Source organism: Homo sapiens, chromosome 3, assembly GCF_000001405.40.
Source record: "Homo sapiens chromosome 3, GRCh38.p14 Primary Assembly".
Lineage (NCBI taxonomy): Eukaryota > Metazoa > Chordata > Mammalia > Primates > Hominidae > Homo > Homo sapiens.
Genome location: NC_000003.12, coordinates 138,546,810 through 138,571,705, shown reverse-complemented (window position 1 = coordinate 138,571,705; position 24,896 = coordinate 138,546,810). Strand labels below are relative to the sequence as shown.

The 24,896-nt window shown below is 40.2% G+C and overlaps 1 protein-coding gene across 23 annotated transcripts in view; it reads left to right on the top strand.

Annotated features, from left to right (window-relative positions):
• Nucleotides 1-24,896, top strand: part of CEP70 (centrosomal protein 70) — a 99,917-nt gene that overhangs the window by 22,555 nt on the left and 52,466 nt on the right. For 16 of the 23 annotated variants that reach the window (NM_001288965.2, NM_001288964.2, NM_024491.4 and 13 more), the window contains 3 exons: nt 350-440; nt 549-672; nt 1,208-1,388. The exons of 4 other annotated variants lie outside the window; for them this stretch is intronic. In NM_001288965.2, the coding sequence (NP_001275894.1) occupies nt 350-440; nt 549-672; nt 1,208-1,388 (396 nt within the window). Of the gene's footprint in view, nt 1-349; nt 441-548; nt 673-1,179; nt 1,389-24,896 lie in introns of those variants that run through there. 3 more of the 23 variants (XM_017007276.3, XM_047449021.1, XM_047449025.1) reach the window with 3 other exon arrangements.

The window sequence follows — 24,896 nt, the reverse complement described above, 5'->3', positions numbered from 1 at the left end:
TATTCTGAGCAGGGCTTGGTTTGGCTTAGTTAAATCTAAAACCTTAGATTTATTTGATTCACTGAAATTACAAGGTGTTTTTGTTGTTGTTGTTGGTTTTGTCCATTGAGGCCTACATATGAGTATTCTGTATAATGCAACAATTTGTGCTTATTTACATACTTCTAGTCTATTACTAATTTTGCTAGAAACAATAAATGTGTTTTTTGGATATTATATATGCATAAACATTTATACTTAAAACTTTTGAAGAAAAAGTTCTATTCTGAAAATGCAGGAAATTATATATGAGAGAATTTCTTCACTTTATATCTAAAGTTAACCCTTTCTTCTCTTTCTGTAATTGTAGCAGGAAGAAGCAGAATGGGAAAGCATAAATGTGCTATTGATGATGCATGGCTTAAAACCTTTGTCTCTAGTCAAAAGAACAGATCTCAAAGGTAATTAGATCCTATTCTTGATGCTTAAGGTAAAAAGTTTATTTTTCCTTAAAAAATTTTTTTTGCCTTTTATTTTTACTATCTGTATTATATACTTTTTAAATGTAGATCTCATCATTTTTGACAAACAGTCATCACAAAGGATGAGACAGAATTTGAAATTGTTGGTGGAAGAAACATCATGTCAACAGAACATGATACAGGAGCTTATAGAAACTAATCAACAGCTTAGGTGAGAAAATGGAAAAGATTTCTTTTGAATTGTTTGTATGCGTTCTAAAAATAACTGCCTTGAAAAAAATCTTGAAATTTAATTTCCCATTTTGATTAAATATTAAACTAAAAAATATTTTTGTAGGTAAAATTTTAATAGGTAAATCTTTTGGTAATAGCTTAGCATAGATGTTTAATGGTACCCTATATTTCTTCTATTAGTTTCTGTTGCAGGATGAGCATCTCAAATCTGAAAATCTGAAAGGCTCCAAAAATTGAAACTTTTTGAGCACCAACATGATGCTTAAAGGAAATGCTTATTGGAGCATTTTGGATTTTGGATTTTCAGATTTGAGATGCTTAACTAGTAAGTATGATGCAAATATTCCAAAATCTGAAAAAATCTGAAATATGAATCACTTCTGGTTCCAAGCATTTTGGATAAAGAGAATGCAAAGAAACTTTAGAAAGGCAATACATTCTTATATGGATATGCTTGGTAATTCGATTTATTTTTAATACTAAGGGAAGAAATTGTATGTCTATTAACTTAGAAATGAACTTCAGCTAGAGCAAAGCCGAGCAGCCAATCAAGAACAACGAGCTAATGACTTGGAACAAATTATGGAAAGTGTGAAATCCAAAATTGGTGAATTGGAGGATGAATCACTAAGTAGGGCTTGCCACCAACAGAATAAAATAAAAGATCTTCAAAAGGAGCAGAAAACTTTACAGGTACTGAGTTATGAATTCTTAGATGATGGTTAGTTAGTACTAAAACAGCTCATTATGGTCCCAGGTGACTTCCATGTTGTTTGATTCAGTGGTTTTTACCTTTTTTGGCTTATCACTGCTACCTTGAAATTCTCTTCACTTGGTTTCTAGAATGTCCTTTATTTCCCTCTGACCTCACTGATCATTCTCTAATTTCTTTTGCTGTTTTTTTTTCTCATCTCCCTAACCTCTTAGTGTTGGAATTCCCCAGTGCTCAGTCCTTAGATCTTTTCTCTTTCTTACATACTCTGATGCCCTTGGTGATGTCAATCTAACATAGGATCCAAAATTTATATCCGTAGCCCAGTCCTCTCCCCGAATTCCAGACTCATATCCAGCTGCCTACTTGATATCTCTACTGGATATCTAATAGGCATCTACAACTTTGTTTGTTTATTTGTTTACTTTTTTGAGACAGCGTCTGGCTCTGTCACCCAGGTTGGAGTGCAGTGGCGCAATCACAGCCCAGTGCAACCTCTGCCTCCTGCACTCAAGTGATCCTTCCACCTCAGCCTCTGGAGTAGCTGGGACTACAGGCGCATGCCACCACGCCTGGCTAATTTTTATATTTTTTATAGAGACAGGCTTTTGCCATGTTACCTAGGCTGGTCTCAAACTCCTGAGCTCAAGTGATCCGCCTGCCTCGGCCTCCCAAAGTGCTGGGATTACAGGTGTGGGGCACTGCACCTGGCTGGCATCTACAACTTTTTATGTCTAAAACTGAGTTCTTTTTATAGAAATGGCAATTTTATAACATTAAATAATTAACTCCCTAATTTTAAAAAACTATTAAAACTTGGGTGTTTATTGTGATTAAAAGAAATGAATCTTATGCTGGTAACTAATGTTTAGTTGTATGAGTTGTTTCTGATCTTTACTAACATTATGTCATTATAAACATTGAGTCCTTATTTTAGTGGTTTTGCTGACACAACACTATATATACGTTTGCATATGTGAGTTCAGGCTATCTAAAAGGGAGCAGTATTCATCAGGCAGGGTCTGGAAGTCCCCTCAGTGTGTGCTGGCAGTATTGGAAGGATCAGATGAGTTAGTATAAATTCCATGGAGTCCGAGAGAATTAATCAGAGATACTAGGGGGCTCTAGTATGAGGACAGAGGCAGTTGGTGCTCTGACCTTGTTTATGTGCCAGCTTGGGGCAGGCAGTAGTAGAGCTGCTGGTATTGACCATAGTTTCAGAGAAGACATTGTTTGACAAACTCCTCTACCATTAGAATGCTAAATTTTTAGGTTGGCTTTGTTTTTTTTTGTGTTTTTTTTTTGTTTGTTTTTTTAGACAGAGTCTCACTCTGTTTCCCAGGCTGATGTGGTGTGCAGTGGTGTGATCTAGGCTCACTGCAACCTCTGCCTCCCGGGTTGAAGCGATTCTCCTGCCTCAGCCTCCCAAGTAGCTGGGACTACAGGCATGCACCACCACGCCCGGCTAATTGTTTGTATTTTAGTAGAGATGGGGTTTCACTATCTTGGCTAGGCTGGTCTTGAACTCCTGACTTCGTGATCCACCCGCCTCAGCCTCCCAAAGTGCTGAGATTATAGGTGTGAGCCACTGCGCCCGGCCTAGGTTGGCTTTGTTAACAAGGTTGCTTTCCTCATCAATAGTATATTTATAAAATCTCTCTAAATGGAGGGGTATTTTGGAAATACTTTCTATATGCATTGGTTTTGACCTTGCTCTTAGATATAGGGCATGTGGAAATCTGAAGCTCTTTAAATCATTGACTTATTGGTGTGAAAAAGCAGCCATCAGAAGCTGTAAAGGTGCTGTGCCAGGTCTTTGGCTGAGTGAACAAGTTGAGAGCAGGAAGACCAGTGGTCTTTGTTGGGGGAAGATATCTATTTATCTTTCAGACAGGTTGAGATGTAATTAATAACAAATTAAATTATTAGAAATACAAAGCTTACAAATTTACCAGGGTTTTAAGCACTTCAAAGAACAGATACATGAGAGTTCATTGATAAGGGGTGACTTGAATGTAATGCCATGTATTTTCTATCAAATAGTTTCATCTGTCATAAATGATTTATCGTGCCTTTAGCTCTTTGTTCCAGGTCCCAAAGATTTGTCGTGTAGCTTATAAATTGGTACAGAGGAGGTTTCATGCTTCAGTCACCCATAGAAGGGGAAAGGCAAATATGATTGAGGAGTGGATACCTGGGGTTGGGGAAGGCTATCTGTGCCAATATGATCAACTGAAATTGGCTGTTTGTTTTTTTAAGTCTCTGATGGGTATTTTATAGAGTGTAAACAGAAATCAGCAAACCCAAGGAATTGCCGCCCCTGAATGTTGCTAGGTTGCCTCATTTCTATTACATACTAGTCAAACATCTCATTCTATTATAGAGAAGGAAAAAATATTTTTACTTCTACCCTTTCAGATTCTCAGTCAGGACTCTGTAACAAAAAACTAACAAGTGAAAAACAAACAAGTTTATGAATATGTTTATATCATATATACATGGGAGAAACCCATGGATGTTGGGCTTAAAGAGGTTGCTAGAACTTGGACTTCCATAGCATCTTAACAACAGCCACCCCCAATAAATTTGCAGAGAAGTGGCAAGACAAAGGAAAAGGACTTTGAGTCTCTAGGGAAGCAAATTGTGGGAAGGTAAATATATTAAGGACTAATGACAGATAAGGGCTAGTCAGTAAACTTGGTTATGTAGAGTCCTCTAGTGCCACCTCTGGGCTAATAAGGATCCAGGGTTGTCACTGGATAAATTTCTATACAGATTTATGTCCTCCTTTAGGCTAATAAAGGAAGGGAAGAGAGCTTTTCTTGTGTTATCATCTTAGTTGCCTTCAACTCAGAATAATCCTTATGCCAAAGTGGCATGTTTTGAGGTGTCAGCTTCTTCTATTCTTCACCATACTAATCAATCTTTGCTTTCTTGAGAAGATGAAAGTGCCTGTGGAGAATAATTATTTCATAGTTTAAGACACATTCTTCTATTTTTGGTATACAGTTGTTTCCAATTTTAGAATGGTTTAGTGCTGCATGTTTGGTAGTTGGGAGAAAGGAAACATTGGTTTTGTATGTATATGCAAAGAGGTCAAGGAAATTTGCAAATGTTTGAGGTATATTGAAAGACTTTTGGGAAAAGACAATTCAGTTGGCATGGGCTATTAATATAATTGATATTCAGTTTTTTTCATTCAGCATTATTTCAGGATTCACCCATGTAGTTGCACATATCCATAGTTTATTCCTTTTTATTGCTGAGAAGTACTCCATTGTATAGATATATCACAGTTTGTTTATCCATTCATCTGTTGATGGACATTTTAGTTTCTAGTTTTTGGCTATTACAAAGAAAGCTCTTGTAAACTGTATGTTCAAATATTTGTGTGGACATATGCTTTCAGTTTTCTTGGGTAGATACCTAGAATTAGAATTCCTGAGTCATATGGTAAGTATACATTTAAGTTTTTTTTTTATATATATATATATACTTTAAGTTCTGGGGTACATGTGCAGAACATGCAGGTTTGTTGCATAGGTATACACGTGCCATGGTGGTTTGCTGCACTCATCAACCCGTCATCTACATTAGGTATTTCTCCTAATGCTATCCCTCCCCTAGCCCCCAAGCCCCTGACAGGCCCCAGTGTGTGATGTTCCCCTTGCTGTGTCCATGTGTTCTCATTGTTCAGCTCCCACTTATAAGTGAGAATGTGCAGTGTTTGGTTTTCCATTCTTGTGTTAGTTTGCTCAGAATAATGGTTTCCAGATTCAAAGGACATGCACTCCTCCTTTTCATGGCTGCATAGTATTCCGTGATGTATATGTGCCACATTTTCTTTATCCAGTCTATCATTGATGGGCATTTGAGTTAGTTCCAAGTTTTTGCTGTCATGAATAGTGCTGCAATAAACGTGTGCATGTGTCTTTATAGTAGAATTATTTATAATCCTTTGGGTATATACCCAGTAATGGGAGTGCTGGGTCAAATGATATTTCTTCTGGTTCTAGATCCTTGAGGAATCACCACACTGTCTTCCACAATGGTTGAACTAATTTACACCCCCACCAACAGTGTAAAAGTGTTCCTATTTCTCCACATCCTCTCCGGCATCTGTTATTTTCTGACTTTTTAATGATCGCCATTCTAAATGGCATGAGATGGTATCTCATTGTGATTTTGATTTGCATTTCTCTAATGACCAGTGATAATGAGCTTTTTTTCATATGTTTGTTGGCCACATAAATGTCTTCTTTTGACAAGTGTCTGTTCATATCCTTCACCCACTTTTTGATGGGGTTGTTTGTTTTTTTTCTTGTAAATTTGTGTAAATTCTTTGTAGATTCTGGATATTAGCCCTTTGTCAGATGGGTAGATTGCAAAAATTTTCCCCCATTCTGTAGGTTGCCTGTTCACTCTGATGGTAGTTTCTTTTGCTGTGCAGAAGCTCTTTAGTTTAATTAGATCCCACTTGTCTATTTGGCTTTTGTTGCCATTGCTTTTGGTGTTTTAGTCATGAAGTCTTAGCCCATTCCTGTGTCCTCAGTGGTATTGCCTAGGTTTTCTTCTAGGGATTTTATGGTTTAAGTGTTTATTCCATCTTGAGTTAATTTTTGTATAAGGTGTAAGAAAGGGGTCCAGTTTCAGTTTTCTGCATATGGCTAGCCAGTTTTCCCAGCACCATTTATTAAATAGGGAATCCTTTCCCCATTTCTTGTTTTTGTCAGGTTTGTCAAAGATCAGATGGTTGTAGATGTGTGGTGTCATTTCTGTGGCCTCTGTTCTGTCCCATTGATCTATATATCTGTTTTGGTACCCTTACCATGCTGTTTTGGTTATATAGCCTTGTACCATAGTTTGAAGTCAGGTAGTGTGTTGCCTCCAGCTTTTTGCTTAGAATTATCTTGGCTATGCAGGCTCTTTTTTGGTTCCATATGAACTTTAAACTAGTTTTTTTCCAATTCTGTGAAGAAAGTCAGTGGTAGCTTGATGGGGATAGCATTGAATCTATAAATTACTTTGGGCAATATGGCCATTTTCACAATATTGATTCTTCCTATCTATGAGCATGGAATGTTTTTCCATTTGTTTGTGTCCTCTCTTATTTCCTTGAGCAGTAGTTTGTAGTTCTCCTTGAAAAGGTCCTTTACATCTCTTGTAAGTTGTATTGCTAGGTATTTAATTCTCCTAGTAGCAATTGTGAATGGGAGTTCACTCATGATTTGGCCCTGTTTGTCTATTATTGGTGTATAGGAATGCTTGTGATTTTTTCACATTGATTTTGTATCCTGAGACTTTGCTGAAGTTGCTTATCAGCTTAAGGAGATTTTGGGCTGAGACAATGGGGTTTTCTAAATATACAATCATGTCATCTGCAAACAGAGACAATTTGACTTCCTCTTTTCCTATTTGAATACCCTTTATTTCTTTCTCTTGCCTGATTGCCCTGGCCAGAACTTCCAATACTATGTTGAATAGGAGTGGTGAGAGAGGGCATCTTTGTTTTGTGCTGGTTTTCAAAGGGAGTGCTTCTGGTTTTTGCCCATTCAGTATGATATTGGGTGTGGGTTGTCATAATTAGCTCTTATTATTTTGAGATACGTTCGATCAATCCCCAGTTTATTGAGAGTTTTTAGCAAGAAGGGCTGTTGAATTTTGTCGAAGTCCTTTTCTGCATCTATTGAGATAATCATGTGGTTTTTGTCTTTGGTTCTGTTTACATGATGGATTACATTTATTGATTTGCATGTGTCAAACCAGCCTTGCATCCCAGAGATGAAGCCAACTTGATCGTGGTGGATACGGTTTTTGATGTGCTGCTGGATTTGGTTTGCCAGTATTTTATTGAGGATTTTCACATCGATGTTCATCAGGGTTATTGGCCTGAAATTTTCTGTTTTTGTTGTGTCTCTGCCAGGTTTTGGTATCAGGATGATGTTGGCCTCAGAAAATGAGTTAGGAAGGATTCCCTTATCTTCTATTGATTGGAATAGTTTCAGAAGGAAAGGTACCAGCTCCTCTTTGTACATCTGGTAGAATTCACTGTGAATCCATCTGGTCCTGGACTTTTTTTGGTTGGTAGGCTATTAATTACTGCCTCAATTTCAGAACTTGTTATTGGTCTATTTAGGGATTTGACTTCTTCCTGGTTTAGACTTGGGAGGGTGTATGTGTCCAGGAATTTATCAATTTCTTCTAGATTTTCTAGTTTATTTGCATAGACATGTTTATAGTATTCTCTGATGGCAGTTTGTATTTCTGTGGGATCAGTGGGGATATCCCCTTTATCATTTTTTATTGCATCTATTTGATTCTTCTCTCTTTTCTTCTTTATTAGTCTGGCTAGTGGTCTATCCATTTTGTTGATCTTTTCAAAAGACCAGCTCCTGGATTCATTGATTTTTTTGAAGAGTTTTTTGTGTCTCTAGCTCCTTCATTTCTGCTGTAATCTTAGTTATTCCTTGACTTCTGCTAGTTTTTGAGTTTGTTTGCTCTTGCTTCTCTAGTTCTTTTAATTGTGATTTTAGGTGTCGATTTTAGATCTTTCCTGCTTTCTCTTGTGGGCACTTAGTGTTATAAATTTCCCTCTACACACTGCTTTAAATGTGTCCCAGAGATTCTGGTACATTGTGTCTTTGTTCTCATTGGTTTCAAAGAACATCTTTATTTCTGCTTTCATTTCGTTGTTTACCCAGTAGTCATTCAAAGGCAGGTTGTTCAGTTTCCATGTAGTTGAGTGGTTTTGAGTGAGTTTCTTAATCCTTAGTTCTAAGTTGATTGCACTGTGGTCTGAGAGACTGTTTGTTATGATTTCTGTTCTTTTGCATTTGCTGAGGAGTGTTTTACTTCTAATTATGTAGTCAATTTTAGAATAAGTGTGATGTGGTGCTGAGAATGTATATTCTGTTGATTTGGGGTGGAGAGTTCTGTAGATATCTATTAGGTCTGCATGGTCCAGAGCTGAGTTCAAGTCCTAAATATCCTTGTTAATTATCTGTCTCATTGATCTGTCTAATATTGATAGTGGGGTGTTAAAGTCTCCCACTATTATTTTGTGGGAGTCTGAGTCTCTTTGTAGGTCTCTAAGAACTTTACTTTATGAATCTGGGTGCTCCTGTATTGGGTGCATATATATTTAGGATAGTTAGCTCTTGTTGCACTGATCCCTTTACCATTATGCAATGCCCTTGTCTCTTTTGATCTTTGTTGGTTTAAAGTCTGTTTTATCAGAGACTAGGATTGCAACCCCTGCTTTTTTTTTTTGCTTTCCATTTACTTGGTAAATATTCCTCCGTCCCTTTATTTTGAGCCCATGTGCATCTTTGCAAGTGAGATGGGTCTCCTGAATACAGCACACTGATGGGTCTTGACTCTATCTAATTTGCCAATCTGTGTCTTTTAAGTGGGGCATTTAGCCGTTTACATTTAAGGTTAATATTGTTATGTGTGAATTTGATCCTGTAATTATGATGGCAGCTGGTTATTTTGCCTGTTAGTTGCTGCAGTTTCTTCATAGTGTCGATGGTCTTTACAGTTTGGTATGATTTTGCGGTGGCTGGTACTGGTTGTTCCTTTCCATGTTTAGTGCTTCCTTCAGGAGCTCTTGTAAGGCAGGCCTGGTGGTGACAAAATTGCTCAGCATTTGTTTGTCTGTAAAGGATTTTATTTCTCCTTCACTTATGAAGCTTAGTTTGGCTAGATATGAAATTCTGGGTTGAATATTTTTTAAGAATGTTGAATATTGGCCCCCACTCTCCTCTGGCTTGTAGGGTTTCTGGAGAGAGATCTGGTGTTAGTCTGATGGGCTTCCCTTTGTGGGTAACCCCAACCTTTTTCTCTGGCTGCCCTTAACATTTTTTCCTTCATTTCAACCTTGGTGAATCTGACAATCACGTGTCTTGGGGTTGCTCTTCTCAAGGAGTATCTTTGTGGTGTTCTCTGTTTTTTTCTGAACTTGAATGTTGGCCTATAATATTGCTAGGTTAGGGAAGTTCTACTGGATAGTATCCTAAAGAGTGTTTTCCAACTTGGTTCCTTTCTCCCCGTCACTTTCAGGTACAATAATCAAACGTAGATTTGGTCTTTTCACATAGTCGCATATTTCTTGGAGGCTTTGTTCATTCCTTTTCATTCTTTTTTCTCTAATCTTGTTTTCTCGCTTTATTTCATTAAGTTGATCTTCAATCTCTGATATCCTTTCTTCTGCTTGATCAGTTCGGCTACTGATACTTGTGTATGCTTCACGAAGTTCTTCTTTTTTTTTTTTTTTTGAGACGGCGTCTTGCATTGTCGCCCGGGCCAGAGTGCAGTGGCACAATCTCGGCTCACTGCAAGCTCCATCTCCCAGGTTCACGCCATTCTCCTGCCTCAGCCTCCCAATAGCTGGGACTACAGGTGCCTGCCACCATGCCCAGCTAATTTTTTGTATTTTTAGTACAGACGGGGTTTCACTGTGTTAGCCAGGATTTCTTGATCTCCTGACCTTGTGATCCACCCGCCTTGAACTCCCAAAGTGCTGGGATTACAGGGGTGAGCCACCGCACCCGGCCAGCTTCATGAAGTTCTTATGCTGTGTTTTTCAGCTCCATCAGGTTATTTATGTTCTTCTCTAAACCGGTTATTCTAGTTAGCAATTTGTCTAACCTTTTTTCAAGGTTCTTAGCTTCCTTGCATTGGGTTAGAACATGCTCCTTTAGCTCAGAGGAATTTGTTATTACCCACCTTCTGAAGCCTACTTCTGTCAGTTCGTCAGACTCATTCTCCATCCAGTTTTGTTTCCTTGGTGGTGAGGAGTTGTGATCCTTCAGAGAAGAGGCGTTCTGGTTTTTGGAATTTTCAACCTTTTTGTGCTGGTTTCTCCCCATCTTCGTAGATTTATCTACCTTTTGTCTCTGATATTGATGACCTTATGATGGGGTCTCTGAGTGGACATCCTTTTTGCTGATGTTGATGCTACTCCTTTCTGTTTGTTAGTTTTCCTTCTAACAGTCAGGCCCCTCTGCTGCAGGTCTGCTGGAGTTTGCTGGAGGCCCACTCCAGACCCCGTTTGCCTGGGTATCACCAGCAGAGGTTGCAGAACAGCAAAGATTGCTGTCTGTTCCTTCCTCTGGAAGATTCATCCCAGAGGAGCACCTGCCAGATGCCAGCTGGAGCTCTCCTGTATGAGGTGTCTGTTGGCTCCTACTGGGAGGTGTCTCCCAATCAGGAGACACGGAGTTCAGTGATCCACTTGAGGAGTTAGTTTGACCTTTAGCAGAGCTCGAACGCTCTGAGATCTGCTGCTCGAACGTGCTAGGAGATCTGCTGCTCTCTTCAGAGCCGTCAGGCCAGGACGTTTAAGTCTGCTGACGCTGTGCCCACATCTGCCCCTTCCCCCAGGTGCTCTGTCCCAGGGAGATGGGGGTTTTATCTCTAAGCCCCTGACTGGGGCTGCTGCCTTTTTTTCAGAGGTGCCCTACCCAGAGAGGAGGAATCTAGAGAGGCAGTCTGGCCACAGCAGCCTTGCTGAGCTGTGGTGCGCTCCATCTAGTTCGAACTTCTGGGCGGCTTTGTTTATACTGTGAGTAAAACTGCTACTCAAGCCTCAGCAGTGGTGGACGCCCCTCACCCCACCAAGCTCAAGTGTCCCAGGTTGACCTCAGACTGCTGCGCTGGCAGTGAGAATTTCAAGCCAGCATATCTTAGCTTGCTGGGCTCCATGGGGGTGGGACCTGCCTACCCAGACCTCTTGGCTCCCTGGCTTCAGTCCCCTTTCCAGGGGAGCAAACGGTTCTGTCTCACTGGCATTCCAGGTGCCACTGGGGTATGAAAAAAAAAAAACAAAAACTCCTGCACCTAGCTCAGTATCTGTCCAAATGGCCGCCCAGTTTTGTGATTGAAACCCAGGGCCCTGGTGGCATAGACACTGGAGGGAATCTTCCGGTCTGCAGGTTGTGAAGACCATGGGAAAAGCGCAGTATCTGGGCTAGAGTGCACTGTTCCTCACGGCACAGTCCCTCCCAGCTTCTCTTGGCTAGTAGAGCAAGTTCTCTAACCCCTTGTGTTTCCTGGGTGAGGCAACACCCCACCCTCCTTCGGTTTGCCCTCTGTGGGCTGTACCCACTGTCCAACCAATCCCAATTAGATGAACACGGTACCTCAGTTGGAAACGCAGAAATCACCCGCCTTCTGCATCGATCTCGCTGGGGAGCTGCAGACTGGAGCTGTTCCTATTCAGCCATCTTGGCAGCAATCCTCACATTTAAGTTTTTAAGAAACTGTCAGACTTTTTCAGAGTAGCTCTATCATTTCACATTCTGACCAATGTATGAGAATTCTAGTTTCTTTATGTCCTCATCAACACTTGGTATTTGTCACCTTAATTTTGATGAATATTTTCACTGGGTATAGAATTATAAGTTGGTAGTTACTTTCAGCATTTGAAAATATTCCATTGTCTCTTGGATTCATTGTTTCTGCTGAGAATTCAATTGTCAATCTATTTGCTGTTCCTTTGAAGGCAATTTATAATATCTCTGACTACCTTTAATATTTTTCTCCTTGTTTTTGTTTGTTTGTTTTTTGTTTTTGGTATAGAGTCTTGCTCTGTTGCCCAGGCTAGAGTGCAGTGGCACAAGCTTGGCTCACTGCACCCTCCGCCTCCTGGGATCAAGTGATCCTCCCACCTCAGTCACCTGAGTAGCTGGGATTACAGGTGTGCACCCAGCTAATTTTTGTATGTTTAGTAGAGATGGGGTTTCACCAGGTTGGCCAGGCTGGTCTTGAACTCCTGGCCTCAAGTGATCTGCTGGCCCTGGCTGCCCAAAGTGCAGGGATTACAGGCGTGAGCCACCAGGCTCAGCTTGTTTTTGTTTTAAAGCATTTTTACTTTGTGCCTAGGCGAGTTTTCTTTTGATTTATCTTCCTTTGATTTTGCAGCATTTCTTGAGCGTGTAGCTTGATGTCTTTCATCAGTTTGGGTACATTCTTAGCTATTATGTCTTCAAATATTGTTTCTGCCTCATTTTCTCTTTTCAATTTGCCCAGGAGTCCAATTCCATTAGTATTTATCATTGACTACCCTATGTCTTTCATGTTTATTCTTTATGTTTCTTCCTTTTGTCTTTTGATACTTTATTCTGGATATTTTCTTTCGGTTATTGTATTTTTTAGTTTTAGAATTTCTAGTGTCTTTGCTTTGGTTTCCAGCTTTCTGCTGAAATTATCTGTTTTGTGTCTCTGAATATATTAAATTTACTTATTTTAAAATCTGTGTCTGATTTTGGGAACAAGATAGAGGTGGTGTTTGCATAATATTGTGAATGTCCTAAATGCTACTGAATTGCTCACTTTAAAATGGTTAATTTTATGTTATGTGAACTTCACCTCAATTTTTAGAAGTCAGCATGTCTGATAATTTGACTCTCTGGTTCTCAGTGGATTACTTTTTATAGCCTGCTGTTTTTGTAGGTTTCCTTTTATGCTGTTTTTACTCCTGGTGTGCCTGGTTGTTTTTTACTGAGTGCTGAGCTTTGTATAGGAACAGTTGTAGAAATAAGTTGAGATCTACTGTGGTGTTATTTTACCCTAGAGGTAATCATGATTGCTTCTGGTAGACATCTAGGTGTACTAGTAATCTGGGATCATCTTAATCCAGCTTTAGAGATTGTGATGGTTTGAAATATACCTCAGTCCCAAAGAAAACTAGTGTATTTCTAGTTCATCATTATTCCTAGGGTGTAGTGTGAGAAGTTTCCTAGGACCTTCCCTTCTTTGTTAGGCCTTTGTGTCTAATTTTTGTTTCATATCCCTGGCAGGCATAAGAAAAAATATCTTTGGTCACCTTCTTAGCTTCTGACACCTTTTCAGGTGTCTGAAAACACACTTGTGGGAAATGTAGCTCCAAAAGCTAGACTTGCTACTTTGAGTTTCCTTTTTCTTTTCTTTTTTGAGACGGAGTCTTGCTCTGTCTCTCAGCCTGGAGTGCAGTGGTGTGATCTCAGCTCACTGCAACCTCCACCTCCCAGGTTCACATGATTTGCCCACTTCAGCCTCCTGAGTAGCTGGAATTACAGGTGTGCACCAGCACGCCCAGTTAATTTTTGTATTTTTAGTGGAAACAGGGTTTCACCATGTTGGCCAGGCTAGTCTCGAACTCCTGACCTCAGGCAATCCGCCTGCCTCGGCCTCGCAAAGTGCTGGGATTACAGGCATGAGCCACTGTGCCTGGCCAGTTTTCTTTTTTCTCCAGAATCATGGTCCTGTAATTTTCATTTCCTTGTTAGCACTTTCAAACAGATTTAAAAATTTTTTGATCATCTTTTTAAAGTTTTTCTCAGTAAGATAATTGGTCTGAATTACCTAGTCTATTATTTACAGAACAGGAGTTCTCTTTTATTTCCTTAAGCATAGAAGCATAGTTTTAAAATTGTCTGTGTCTGATAACTCTAATATTGGATGTTCTTTGTGGGCTTGATCTGTTATGTCTTATTTCTTTTTTAAAAATTTTTTATTTCCATAGGCTTTGGGGTAACAGGTGGTATTTGGTTACATTTATAATTACTTTAGTGGTGATTTGTGAGATTTGGTGCACCAAGCAGTATACACTGAACCCAATTTGTAGTCTTTTGTTCCTCACTCCCTTTTCACCCTTTCCCTCTGAGTCCCCAAAGTCCATTGTATCATTCTTTGTTGTGGGAAGTCAGGGACCCCAAACAGAGGGACTGGCTGAAGCCATGACAGATGAATGTGGATTGTGAAGATTTCGTGGACATTTATTAGTTCCCCAAATTAATACTTCTATAATTTCTTATGCCTGTCTTTACTGCAGTCTCTGAACATAAATTGTGAAGATTTCATGGACGCTTATCACTTCCCCAATCAATACCCTTGTGATTTCCTATGCCTGTCTTTACTTTAATCTCTTAATCCTGTCAGCTGAGGAGGATGTATGTCGCCTCAGGACCCTGTGATGATTGCGTTAACTGCACAAATTGTTTGTAGAGCATGTGTGTTTGAACAATGTGAAATCTGGGCACCTTGAAAAAAGAACAGGATAACAGCAATGTTCAGGGAATAAGAGAGAGAACCTTAAACTCTGACCGCCGGTGAGCTGGGCGGAACAGAGCCATATTTCTCTTCTTTCAAAAGCAAATGGGAGAAATATCACTGAATTCTTTTTCTCAGCAAGGAACATCCCTGAGAAAGAGAATGCGCCCCTGAGGGTAGGCCTCTAAAATGGCCCCCTTGGGTGTGGCTGTCTTCTATGGTCGAGACTGTAGGGATGAAATAAGCCCCAGTCTCCCATAGCACTCCCAGGCTTATTAGGACGAGGAAATTCCCGCCAAATAAATTTTGGTCAGACCGGTTGCTCTCAAACCCTGTCTTCTGAAAAGATGTTATCAATGACAATGATGCCCGAAACTTCATTAGCAATTTTAATTTCGCCCCGGTCTGTGGTCCTGTGATCTCGCCCTGCCTCCATTTGCCTTGTGATATTCTATTACCTTGTGAAGTACGTGATCTCTGTGACCCACACCCTATTTGTACACTGCCTCCCCTTTTGAAAATCCCTAATAAAAACTTGCTGGTTTTACAGCTCAGGAGGCATCACGGAACCTACCGACGTGATGTCTCCCCCGGACGCCCAGCTTTAAAATTTCTCTCTTTTGTACTCTGTCCCTTTATTTCTCAACCCGGACGATGCTTAGGGAAAATAGAAAAGAACTTACGTGACTGTCGGGGGCAGGTTCCTTGATAATTCTTTTTTTTTTTTTTTTTTTTTTTTGAGACAGAGTCTCACTCTGTCACCCAGGCTGGAGTGCAGTGGCACAATCTAAGCTCACCACAACCTCTGCCTCCCGGGTTCAAGCAATTCTCCTGCATCAGCCTCCTGAGTAGCTGGGACTACAGGCTCCCACCACCATGCCCAGCTAATTTTTGTATTTTTAGTAGAGATGGGGTTTCACCATATTGGCCAGGATGGTCTTGATCTCCTGACCTCATGATCCACCCACCTTAGCCTCCGAAAGTGTTGGGATTACAGGCGTGAGCCACCGTGCCCGGCCCGTTGTATCTTTCTCATGCCTTTGCATTGTCATAGCTTAGCTCCCACTTATAAGTGAGAACATATGTTCAGTTTTCCATTCCTGAGTTACTTCACTTAGAATAATAGTCTACAATCCTGTCCAGATTGCTGCGAATGCCATTGATTCATTCATTTTTATGGCTGAGTAGTATTCCATCGTGTATGTATACCACAGTTTCTTTATCCACTTGTTGATTGATGGGCATTTCAGCTGCTTCCACATTTTTGCAATTGTGAATTGTGCTTTTGTATAATGTTATACATTATATGAATTGTACATTTGTGTAATGACTTCTTTTCCTCTGGGTAGATACCCAGTAGTGGGATTGTTGGATCAAATGGTAGTTCTACTTTTAGTTCTTTAATGAATCTCCACACTGTTTTCCATAGTGGTTGTACTAGTTTACATTCCCACCAGCAGTGTAGAAGTTTTCCCTTTTCACCACATCCACACCAACATCTACTGTTTTTTGATTTTTTGATAATGGGCATTCTTGTGGGAGTGAGGTGGTATCACATTGTGGTTTTGATCTGCATTTCCCTGACCATTGGTGTTGTTGAGCATGTTTTCATGTGTTTGTTGGCCATTTGTATATCTTCTTTTCAGAATTCTCTATTCATATCCTTAGCTCACTTTTTGATGGGATTATTTGTTTTTTCTTGCTAATTTGTTTGAGTTTCTTGTAGATTCTGGATATTAGTCCTTTGTCGGATGTATAGATTGTGATGATTTTTTCCCACTCTGTGGGTTGTTTGCTGACTGTTCCTTTTGCTGTGCAAAAGCTCTTTAGTTTAATTAAGTCCCACCTATTTATCTTTGTGTTTCATTTGCTTTTGAGTTCTTGGTCATGAAATCTTTGCCTAATCCAATGTCTAGAAGGGTTTTTCTGATACTATATTCTAGAATTTTTATGGTTTAGGTCTTAGATTTAAGTCATTTAAGTCCTTGATCCATCTTGAGTTGATTTTTTTTTTTTTTGAGATGGAGTCTCAATCTGTCACCCAGACTGGAGTGCGATGGCATACTCTTGGCTCACTGCAACCTCCCCCTACTGGGTAGAAGTGATTCTCCTGCCTCAGCCTTCCGAGTAGGTGGGATTACAGGTGCCTGCCACCATGACCAGCTAATTTATGTATTTTTAGTAGAGACAGGGTTTCACAATGTTCGCCAGGCTGGTCTTGAACTCCTGACCTCAGATGATCTACCCGCCTCCCAGAGTGCTGGGATTACAGGCATGAACCACTGTGTCTGGCCTTGAGTTGATTTTTGCATAAGGTCAGAGATGAGGATCAAGTTTCATTCTTCTACATGTGGCGTGCCAATTATCCCAGCACCATTTGCACAGCAAAAGGAACAGTCAGCAAACAACCCACAGAGTGGGAAAAAATCATCACAATCTATACATCCGACAAAGGACTAATATCCAGAATCTACAAGAAACTCATTTGCTGAAGAGGTCTTTCACCTCCTTGGTTAGGTATATTCTTAAGTACTTTATTTTATTTTTACAGTAAAAGGGATTGAGTTATTGATTAGATTCTCAGCTTGGTCACTGTTGGTGTATAGCAGAGATACTGATTTATGTACATTAATTTTGTATCCTGAAACTTTGCTAAATTCATTTATCAGTTCTGGGAGCTTTTTAGAAAACTCTAAGGAGTTTTCTAGGTATACAGTCATATTGCCAGTGAACAGCAGTAGTTCGACTTCCTCTTTACTGATTTGGGTGCCCTTTATTTCTTTCTCTTGTCTGATTGCTCTGACTAGAACTTCCAGTATTACTGTTGAATAGAAGTGGTGAGAGTAGGCATCCTCATCTTGTTCTAGTTCTCAATAGAAGTGGTGAGAGTAGGCATCCTTATCTTGTTCCAGTTCTCAAAGGGAATGCTTTCATAATACTTTTCCAGTATTATGTTGGCTGTGGATTTATCATAGATGGCTTTTATTACTTTGAGGTATGTCCCTTGTATGCTGATTCTGCTGAGGGTTCTAATGACAAAAGGATGCTGGATTTTTTTTTTTTTTTCATATGGAGTCTCACTCTGTTGTCCAGGCTAGAGTGCGGTGGCATGATCTTGGCTCACTGAAATCTCCGCCTCCCAGGTTCAGGCGATTCTCCTGCCTCAGTCTCCTGAGTAGCTGGGATTACAGGCATGCACCACCATGCCTGGCTATTTTTTGTATTTTTAGTAGAGACAGGGTTTCATTCACCATGTTGGCCAGGCTAGTCTTGAACTACTGACCTCAGGTGATCCACCCACCTCAGCCTCCCAAAGTGTTGGGATTACAGGTGTGAGCCACCATGCCTGGCCTGGATTTTGTTAAATGCTTTTTCTGAGTTTATCGAGATGATCATGTGATTTTTATTTTTAATTCTGTTTATATGGTGTATCACATTTATTGACTTTTGTATGTTAAACTATCCCTGCATACCTGGTATAAGACCCACTTGATCATGGTGGATTATCTTTTTGATATGCTGTTGAATTCATTTAGCTCATATTTTGTTAAGGATTTTTGCATCTATGTTCATCAGGGATATTTGTCTGTAGTTTTCTTTTTTTGTTATATCTTTTCCTAGTTTTGGTATTAGGGTGATACTTTCTTTATAGAATGATTTAGGGAGGATTCCCTCTTTCTCTGTCTTTTGGAATAGTGTCAATAGGATTGACACCAATTCTTTGAATGTCTGGTAGAATTCAGCTGTCAATCTGTCTAGTCCTGGATTTTTTTTTTTTTGTCTTTTTGAGATGGAGTCTCTCTCTGTCGCCAAGGCTGGAGTGCAGTGGCCCAATCTCAGCTCACTGCAAGCTCCACCTTCAGGGTTCACACCATTCTCCTGCCTCAGCCTCCCAAGTAGCTGGGACTATAGGCACCCGCTGCCACGCCCAGCTAATTTTTTTGTATTTTTAGTAGACACGGGGTTTCACCGTGTTAGCCAGGATGGTCTCGATCTCCTGACCTCGTGATCCACCCACCTTGGCCTCCCAAAGTGCTAGGATTACAGGCGTGAGCCATCGTGCCCAGCCGGTATTTTTTTTTTTGAAGGCAGTATTTCGTTCTCACTGCTTGTTATTGGTCTGTCTAGGGTTTCGAATTCTTCCTGATTTAAACTAGGAGTTGTGTCTTTTTAGGAATTTACCCATCTCCTCTAGGTTTTCTAGTTTATGTGCGTAAAAGTTTTGATAGTAGCCTTGAATGATCTTTTGTATTTCTGTGGTGTCAGTTGTAATATCTCCCGCTTCATTTCTAATTCAGCTTATTTGAATCTTCTCTCTTCTCTTGGTTCATCTTGCTAGTGGTCTATCAATTTTATTTATCTTTTCAAGGAACCAGCTTTTTGTTTCATTTATCTTTTGTATTTTTGTTTGATTGTTTCAGTTTCATTTAGCTCTGCTCTGATCTTGGTTATTTCCTTTCTTCTGCTGGGTTTGGGTCAGGTTTGTTCTTGTTTCTCTAGTTCCTTGAGGTGTGACCTTAGATTGTCTAGTTGTGTTCTTTCAGACTTTTTGGTGTAAGCATTTAAGGTGGTGAATTTTCCTCTTAGCACCACCTTTACTGTATCCCAGAGGTTTTGATAGGTTATGTCACTATTATCTCTCGGTTCAAAGAATTTTTGAACTTCCATCTTGATTTTATTGTTGACCCAATGATCATTCAGGAGCAGGTTATTTAATTTCCATGTATTTGCATGGCTTTGAAGGTACCTTTTGGAGTTGATTTTCAGTTTTATTCCACTGTGGTCTGAGAGAGTAATTGATATAATTTCAATTTTCTTAAATTTTTTGAGACTTGTTTTGTGGCCTATCATATGGTCTATCTTGGAGATAGTTCCATATGCTGATGAATAGAATGTATATTCTACAGTTGTTGGGTAGAATGTGTTGTAAATATCTGTTAAGTTTATTTGTTCCGGGGTATAGTTTAAATCCATTGTTTCTTTGTTGATTTTCTGTCTTGATGACCTGTCTAGTGCTGTCAGTGGAGTATTGAAGTCCCCCACTATTATTGTGTTGCTGTCTATCTCATTACTTAGGTCTAGTAGTAGTTGTTTCATAAATTTGGGAACACCAGGGTTAGGTACATATATATTTAGGATTGTGATATTTTCCTGTTGGACAAGGCTTTCTATCATTATATAATGTCCCTGTTTGTCTGTTTTTTAACTGCTGTTGCTTTAAAGTTTGTTTTGTTTGGTATAAGAATAGCTACTCCTACTCGCTTTTGTCCATTTGCATGGAATGTCTTTTTTCACCCCTTTACCTGACATTTATGTAAGTCCTTATATGTTAGTTGAGTGTCTTGAAGGCAACAGATGATTGGTGAATTCTTATCCATTGTGCAATTCTATATCTTTTAAGTGGAGCATTTAGGCAATTTACATTCAACATCAGTATCAAGATGTGAGGTACTATTCCATTCATCATGCTATTTTTTGCCTGTATACTTTGGGTTTTGTTTTATTTTATTTTTTTTTTTTTAGATGGAGTTTCACTCTTGTCACCCAGGCTGGAGTGCAGTGGCGGGATATCGGCTCACTGCAACCTCTGCCTCCTGGGTTCAAGTGATTCTCCTGCCTCAGCCTCCTGAGTAGCTGGAACTACAGACACACGCCAACATGCCTGGTGAATTTTTGTATTTTTAGTAGAGACGGGGTTTCACTATGTTGGCCAGGCTGATCTTGAACTCCTGACCTCAGGTGATCCACCTGCCTCGTTCTCCCAAAGTGCTGGGATTACAGGCATGAACCACTGCACCCAGCCAGATTTTTTTAATTGTATTTTTGTTTTATAGGTCCTGTGACATTTATGCTTTGAAAAGGTTCTGTTTTGATGTGTTTTCAGGATTTGTTTAAAGATTTAGAGCTCTTTTAGTAGTTCTTGTATTGCTGGCTTGTTAGTGGTGAATTCTCTCAGCATTTGTTTGTCTGAAAAAGACTATCTTTCCTTTGTGAAGCTTAGTTTCTCTGGATACAAAATTCTTGGCTGATAATTGTTTTGTTTAAGGAGGCTAAATATACGGCTCCAATCCCTTCTAGCTTATAGTTTTCTGCTGAGAAATCTGCTGTTAATCTTATAGGTTTTCCTTTATAGGTTACCTGGTGCTTTTGCCTCACAGCTCTTAAGATTCTTTCCTTTGTCTTGACTTTAAATAACCTGATGACAATGTGCCTAGGCAATCTTTTTGCGATGAATTTCTCAGGTGTTCTTTGAGCCTCTTGTATTTGAATGTCTAGGTCTTTAGCAAGGCTGGGGAAGTTTTCCTCAATTATTCCCCCAGAGACGTTTTCCAAACTTTTAGATTTCTCTTCTCCTCAGGCATGACAACTATTCTTAGATTTGGTCGTTTAACATAATCCCAAACTTCTTGGAGACTTTGTTCATTTTCTTTTATTCTTTTTCTTTGTCATTGTTGGATTGGGTTAATTCGTAAAGCTTGTCTTCAGGCTCTGAAGTTCTTTCTTCTGCTTATTCAATTCTATTGCTGAGACTTTCCAGAACATTTTGCCTTTCTCTTTGTCCTTTATTTCCTGAAGTTGTGATTGTTTTTTAATTTATGCAATTGGCCAGGCATGGTGGCTCATGCCTGTAATCCCAGCACTTTGGGAGGCTGAGGCGGGCAGATCACCTGAGGTCAGGAGTTTGAGACCAGCCTGGCCAACATGAAGAAATCTCATCTCTGCTAAAAATACAAAATTAGCCAAGCGTGGTGGCACATGCCTGTAATCCCAGCTACTCAGGAGGCTGAGGCAGGAGAATAGCTTGAACCTGGGAGGCGGAGGTTGCAGTGAGCCAAGATCACTCCATTGCACTCCAGCCTGGGTGACAAGAGCGAAACTCCGTCTCAAAAACAACAACAACAAAAAATGTATGCAATCTTTTCACTGAAGATTTCTCTCCTCATTTCTTGTATCATTTTTTGAATTTTTTAAAAGTTGGACTTCACCCTTCTCTGGTGCCTCCTTGATTAGCTTAATAATCACCCTTCTGAATTATTTTCAGGTAAATCAGGGATTTCTTCTTGGTTTGGATCCATTGCTGGTGAGCTAGTGTAATTTTTGGGGAGTGTTAAAGAGCCTTGTTTTGTCATATCAGAATTGTTTTTCTGGTTCCTTCTCATTTGGGTAGGCTATGTCAGTGGGAAGGTCTGGGGCTCAAGGCTGCTGTTCAGATTCTTTTGTCCCACGGGATGTTCCTTTGATGTAATACTATCTCCCTTTTTCCAGGGATGTGGCTTCCTGAGAGCTGAGCTGTAATGATTGTTATTTCTCTTCTGGATCTAACCACCCAGAAGGGCTACCAGGCTCCAGGCTGGTACTGGGGATTATCTGCACAGAGTCCTTTGATGTGAACCGTCTTCATGTCTCTCAGCAGTGGATACCAGCACCTGCTCTGGTGGAAGTGGCATGGGAGTGAAATGGACTCTGTGAGGATTTTTAGTTTTGGTTGTTTAATGCGCTATTTTTACACTGGTTGACCTCCTGCCAGGAGGTGGCACATTCAAGAGTGCATCAGCTGTGGTAGTATAACGGGGATCAGGCAGTAGGCAGGGCCCTAGAACTCCGAAGAGAATATGCTCTTTGTCTTCAGCTACCAGAGCAGATAGAGAAGGACCATCATGTTGGGCCAGGGTTAGGCGTGTCTGAGCTCAGATTCTCCTTGGGCAGGGCTTGCTGCAGCTGCTGTGGGGCATGGGGGTATGGGTCCCAGGTTCAGTGGAGTTCTGTTCCCAGCAGGATTATGGCTGCCTCTGCTGTGTCATGCAGATTGTCAGGGAAGTTGGGGAAAGCAGGAAGTTATAGGCCTCACCCAGCTCCCACGCAATCCAAAAGGCCGGTCTCACTCCCATCATGCCCACTACCCGCCCCACCCAACAACACCAAGTTTGTTTCCAGGCAGTGAGTGAGCAGAGCTGAGAATTTGCCTCAGGCTACCAGCCTCCCAGCTGAGAAAGCCAGCAGGGCTTCCGTGCCTCCCCGCTTCTCAAATCTGCACACTAGATTCATGCCCTTCCCCGAGTTCGGCCAGAAAGCTTCACGTCCGGTTGGAGTTGTTAGAAAGTTCAGCTGGAGGTTTCCTTCCTGTATGGTCTTTTACCAGTTCCTCTGTCAGCCCTCCCAAAGGACCCCTGTGAGACAAGTCAGAAATGGCTTCCCAGGGGACCCAGAGAGCCCACAGGGCTTTTCCCATTCCTTCCTCTACCCCTTTATTTTGCTCAGCTCTCTAATTTGACTCAGCTCCAGGTAAAGTCAAATCCTGTCCCATGAGCTAGACCTTCAGGTTCCCCAGTGAGGGTATGTATTCAGGGGTGGACAATCTCTCCTTTCCTACTTTCATAGCTTGGGCATTCACAATATTTGGGGTGTCTCCTAGGTCCTGCAGGAGCAGTCTGCTTCTTTCAGAGGGTCTGTGGATTTTCTCAGCTTTCCTGATGTATTCCTGTAGTAGTTTTGGAGCAAAAGTTCATGATGTGAGTCTCCACCCACTGCTCTGTTCATCTGAGTGGGAACTGCAATCTAGTCCTGCCTCCTATCTGCCATTTTCCCCTAGAATTTCCATGTCTTGTTTCTTTACACTGTAGTTCATGGTGTCTTGTTTCCTTATGTGCCTGCTTATCTGCATATGCAGGGAATAGTATTTTAAAAAGTATTAATGGGAATTATTTGAAGCCTAAGATTAAGGCATCTTATTCCAAAGAGTAAGCAGGGTCACAATCTGGTTTCCAATCTCCTGGATATAACCAGGGAACCTCAAGCCAAGATCTTAGTTTAAGGAGTTGGAGAAATGATAGTTTATATATTGCATTTTACGTAAAATCAAAATCCTCTTTGGAGGAAGGTGCTGTGCACATACCATGATCTTAGAAAGGAAAACCAAAGAAGTGAGTTTAGCTTTGGGGGCTAAAGTTTCCCCAGGAGTGTTTTGGGATTTTTGAAAATTGAGATGATTATATGGCTTTTTTCCTTTATTGTGCTAATGCGGTGTATTACATTGATTGATTTTTTGTATGTTGAGCCATCTTTGCATTCCAAGGATAAATTCCACTTGGTTGTGGTATATAATCCTTTTAATATGCTATTGAATTTGGCCTGCTAATATTTTGTTCAGGATTTTTGCATTCATATTCATAATAGATATTCGTCTGTAGTTCTCTTCTTTTTGTAGTATCTCTGGCTTTGGTATCAGGATAATGTTGGCCTGATACAATGAATTAGGAGATATCTAACTGATTTTTGTATACAGTAGTTCCCCCTCATCCATGGTTTTGCTTTTTGTGATTTCAGTTCCCTGTGGTCAGTCAATTGCAGTTCAAAAATATTAAATGGAAAATTCCAGAAATAAATAGTTCATAAGTTTAAAATTGTACACTATTCTGAGTAGCATGATGAAATCTCACACAATCTTGTTCAGTCCCATTCAGGACATGAATCATCCCTTTTCCACCTTATCCACACTGTATGTGCTACCTGCCCATTAGTCACTTGGTAGCTGTCTTGGTTATCAGATCTACTGTCATAGTATCACAGTACTTATTTTCAGGTAACCCTTATTTTACTTAATAATAGGCCCAAGATGCAAGAGGAATGATGCTGGCAATTTGGATATGCCAAAGAGAAGCTGTGAAGTACTTCCTTTAAGTGAAAAGGTGAAAGTTCTTGGCTTAATAAGGAAAGAAAAAAAATTGCTGAGGTTGCTAAGATCTATGGTGAGAACGAATCTTCTATGTTATCCTGACAAAGGAAAAAGAAATTAATGCTAGTTTTGTTATCACACCTCAAACTGCAACTGTTATGGCCACAGTGAGTGATAGTGCACAGTTAAGATGGAAAAGGCCATTAATTTGTTGGTGGAAGTCATAAGCAGAAACTCGTATGTTCCAATTGATGGCAATTGGGTTCAGTACTATTTGAAGTTTTGCGCATCCACTGAGGATCCTGGAATGTATCCCCCATGGATAAGGAGGACTACTGTATTGCTTTTCTATCCTACAGTTTTGTAAAACTCAATTTCTAGTTCTAGTTCATGGCTTAACTTGTAGAAACAGGTGGGACTGACACCCTCATCACTTGGCTGCAGAGGTCCTCCCTGGCTTCTAGGGAGGGCTGAGGCAGAGGATTCCTTCTGGATGTAACCCATGGTACTAGAGTAGCCATGAGTCACATCCGTTTTTTATTTCATTTCAATTTCATTATTTCATTTCAATTTCATTTCATTTCATTTTTCATCTTATAAGATGAAATAGTTCCAGAAGCTGAGAACCTTTTTTCCTCTGAGGGTTGCTAAGTCTCAGCAAACATTACACCATGGGCACATGAACATGTGCTTAGACATGAGTGTCCTGTTCCATAAGAGATTTGTGTCTGTATTATACAGGCCAGGTAGGGAAAAGGGTTTTCACTGAGTCTTTTTCATTTAT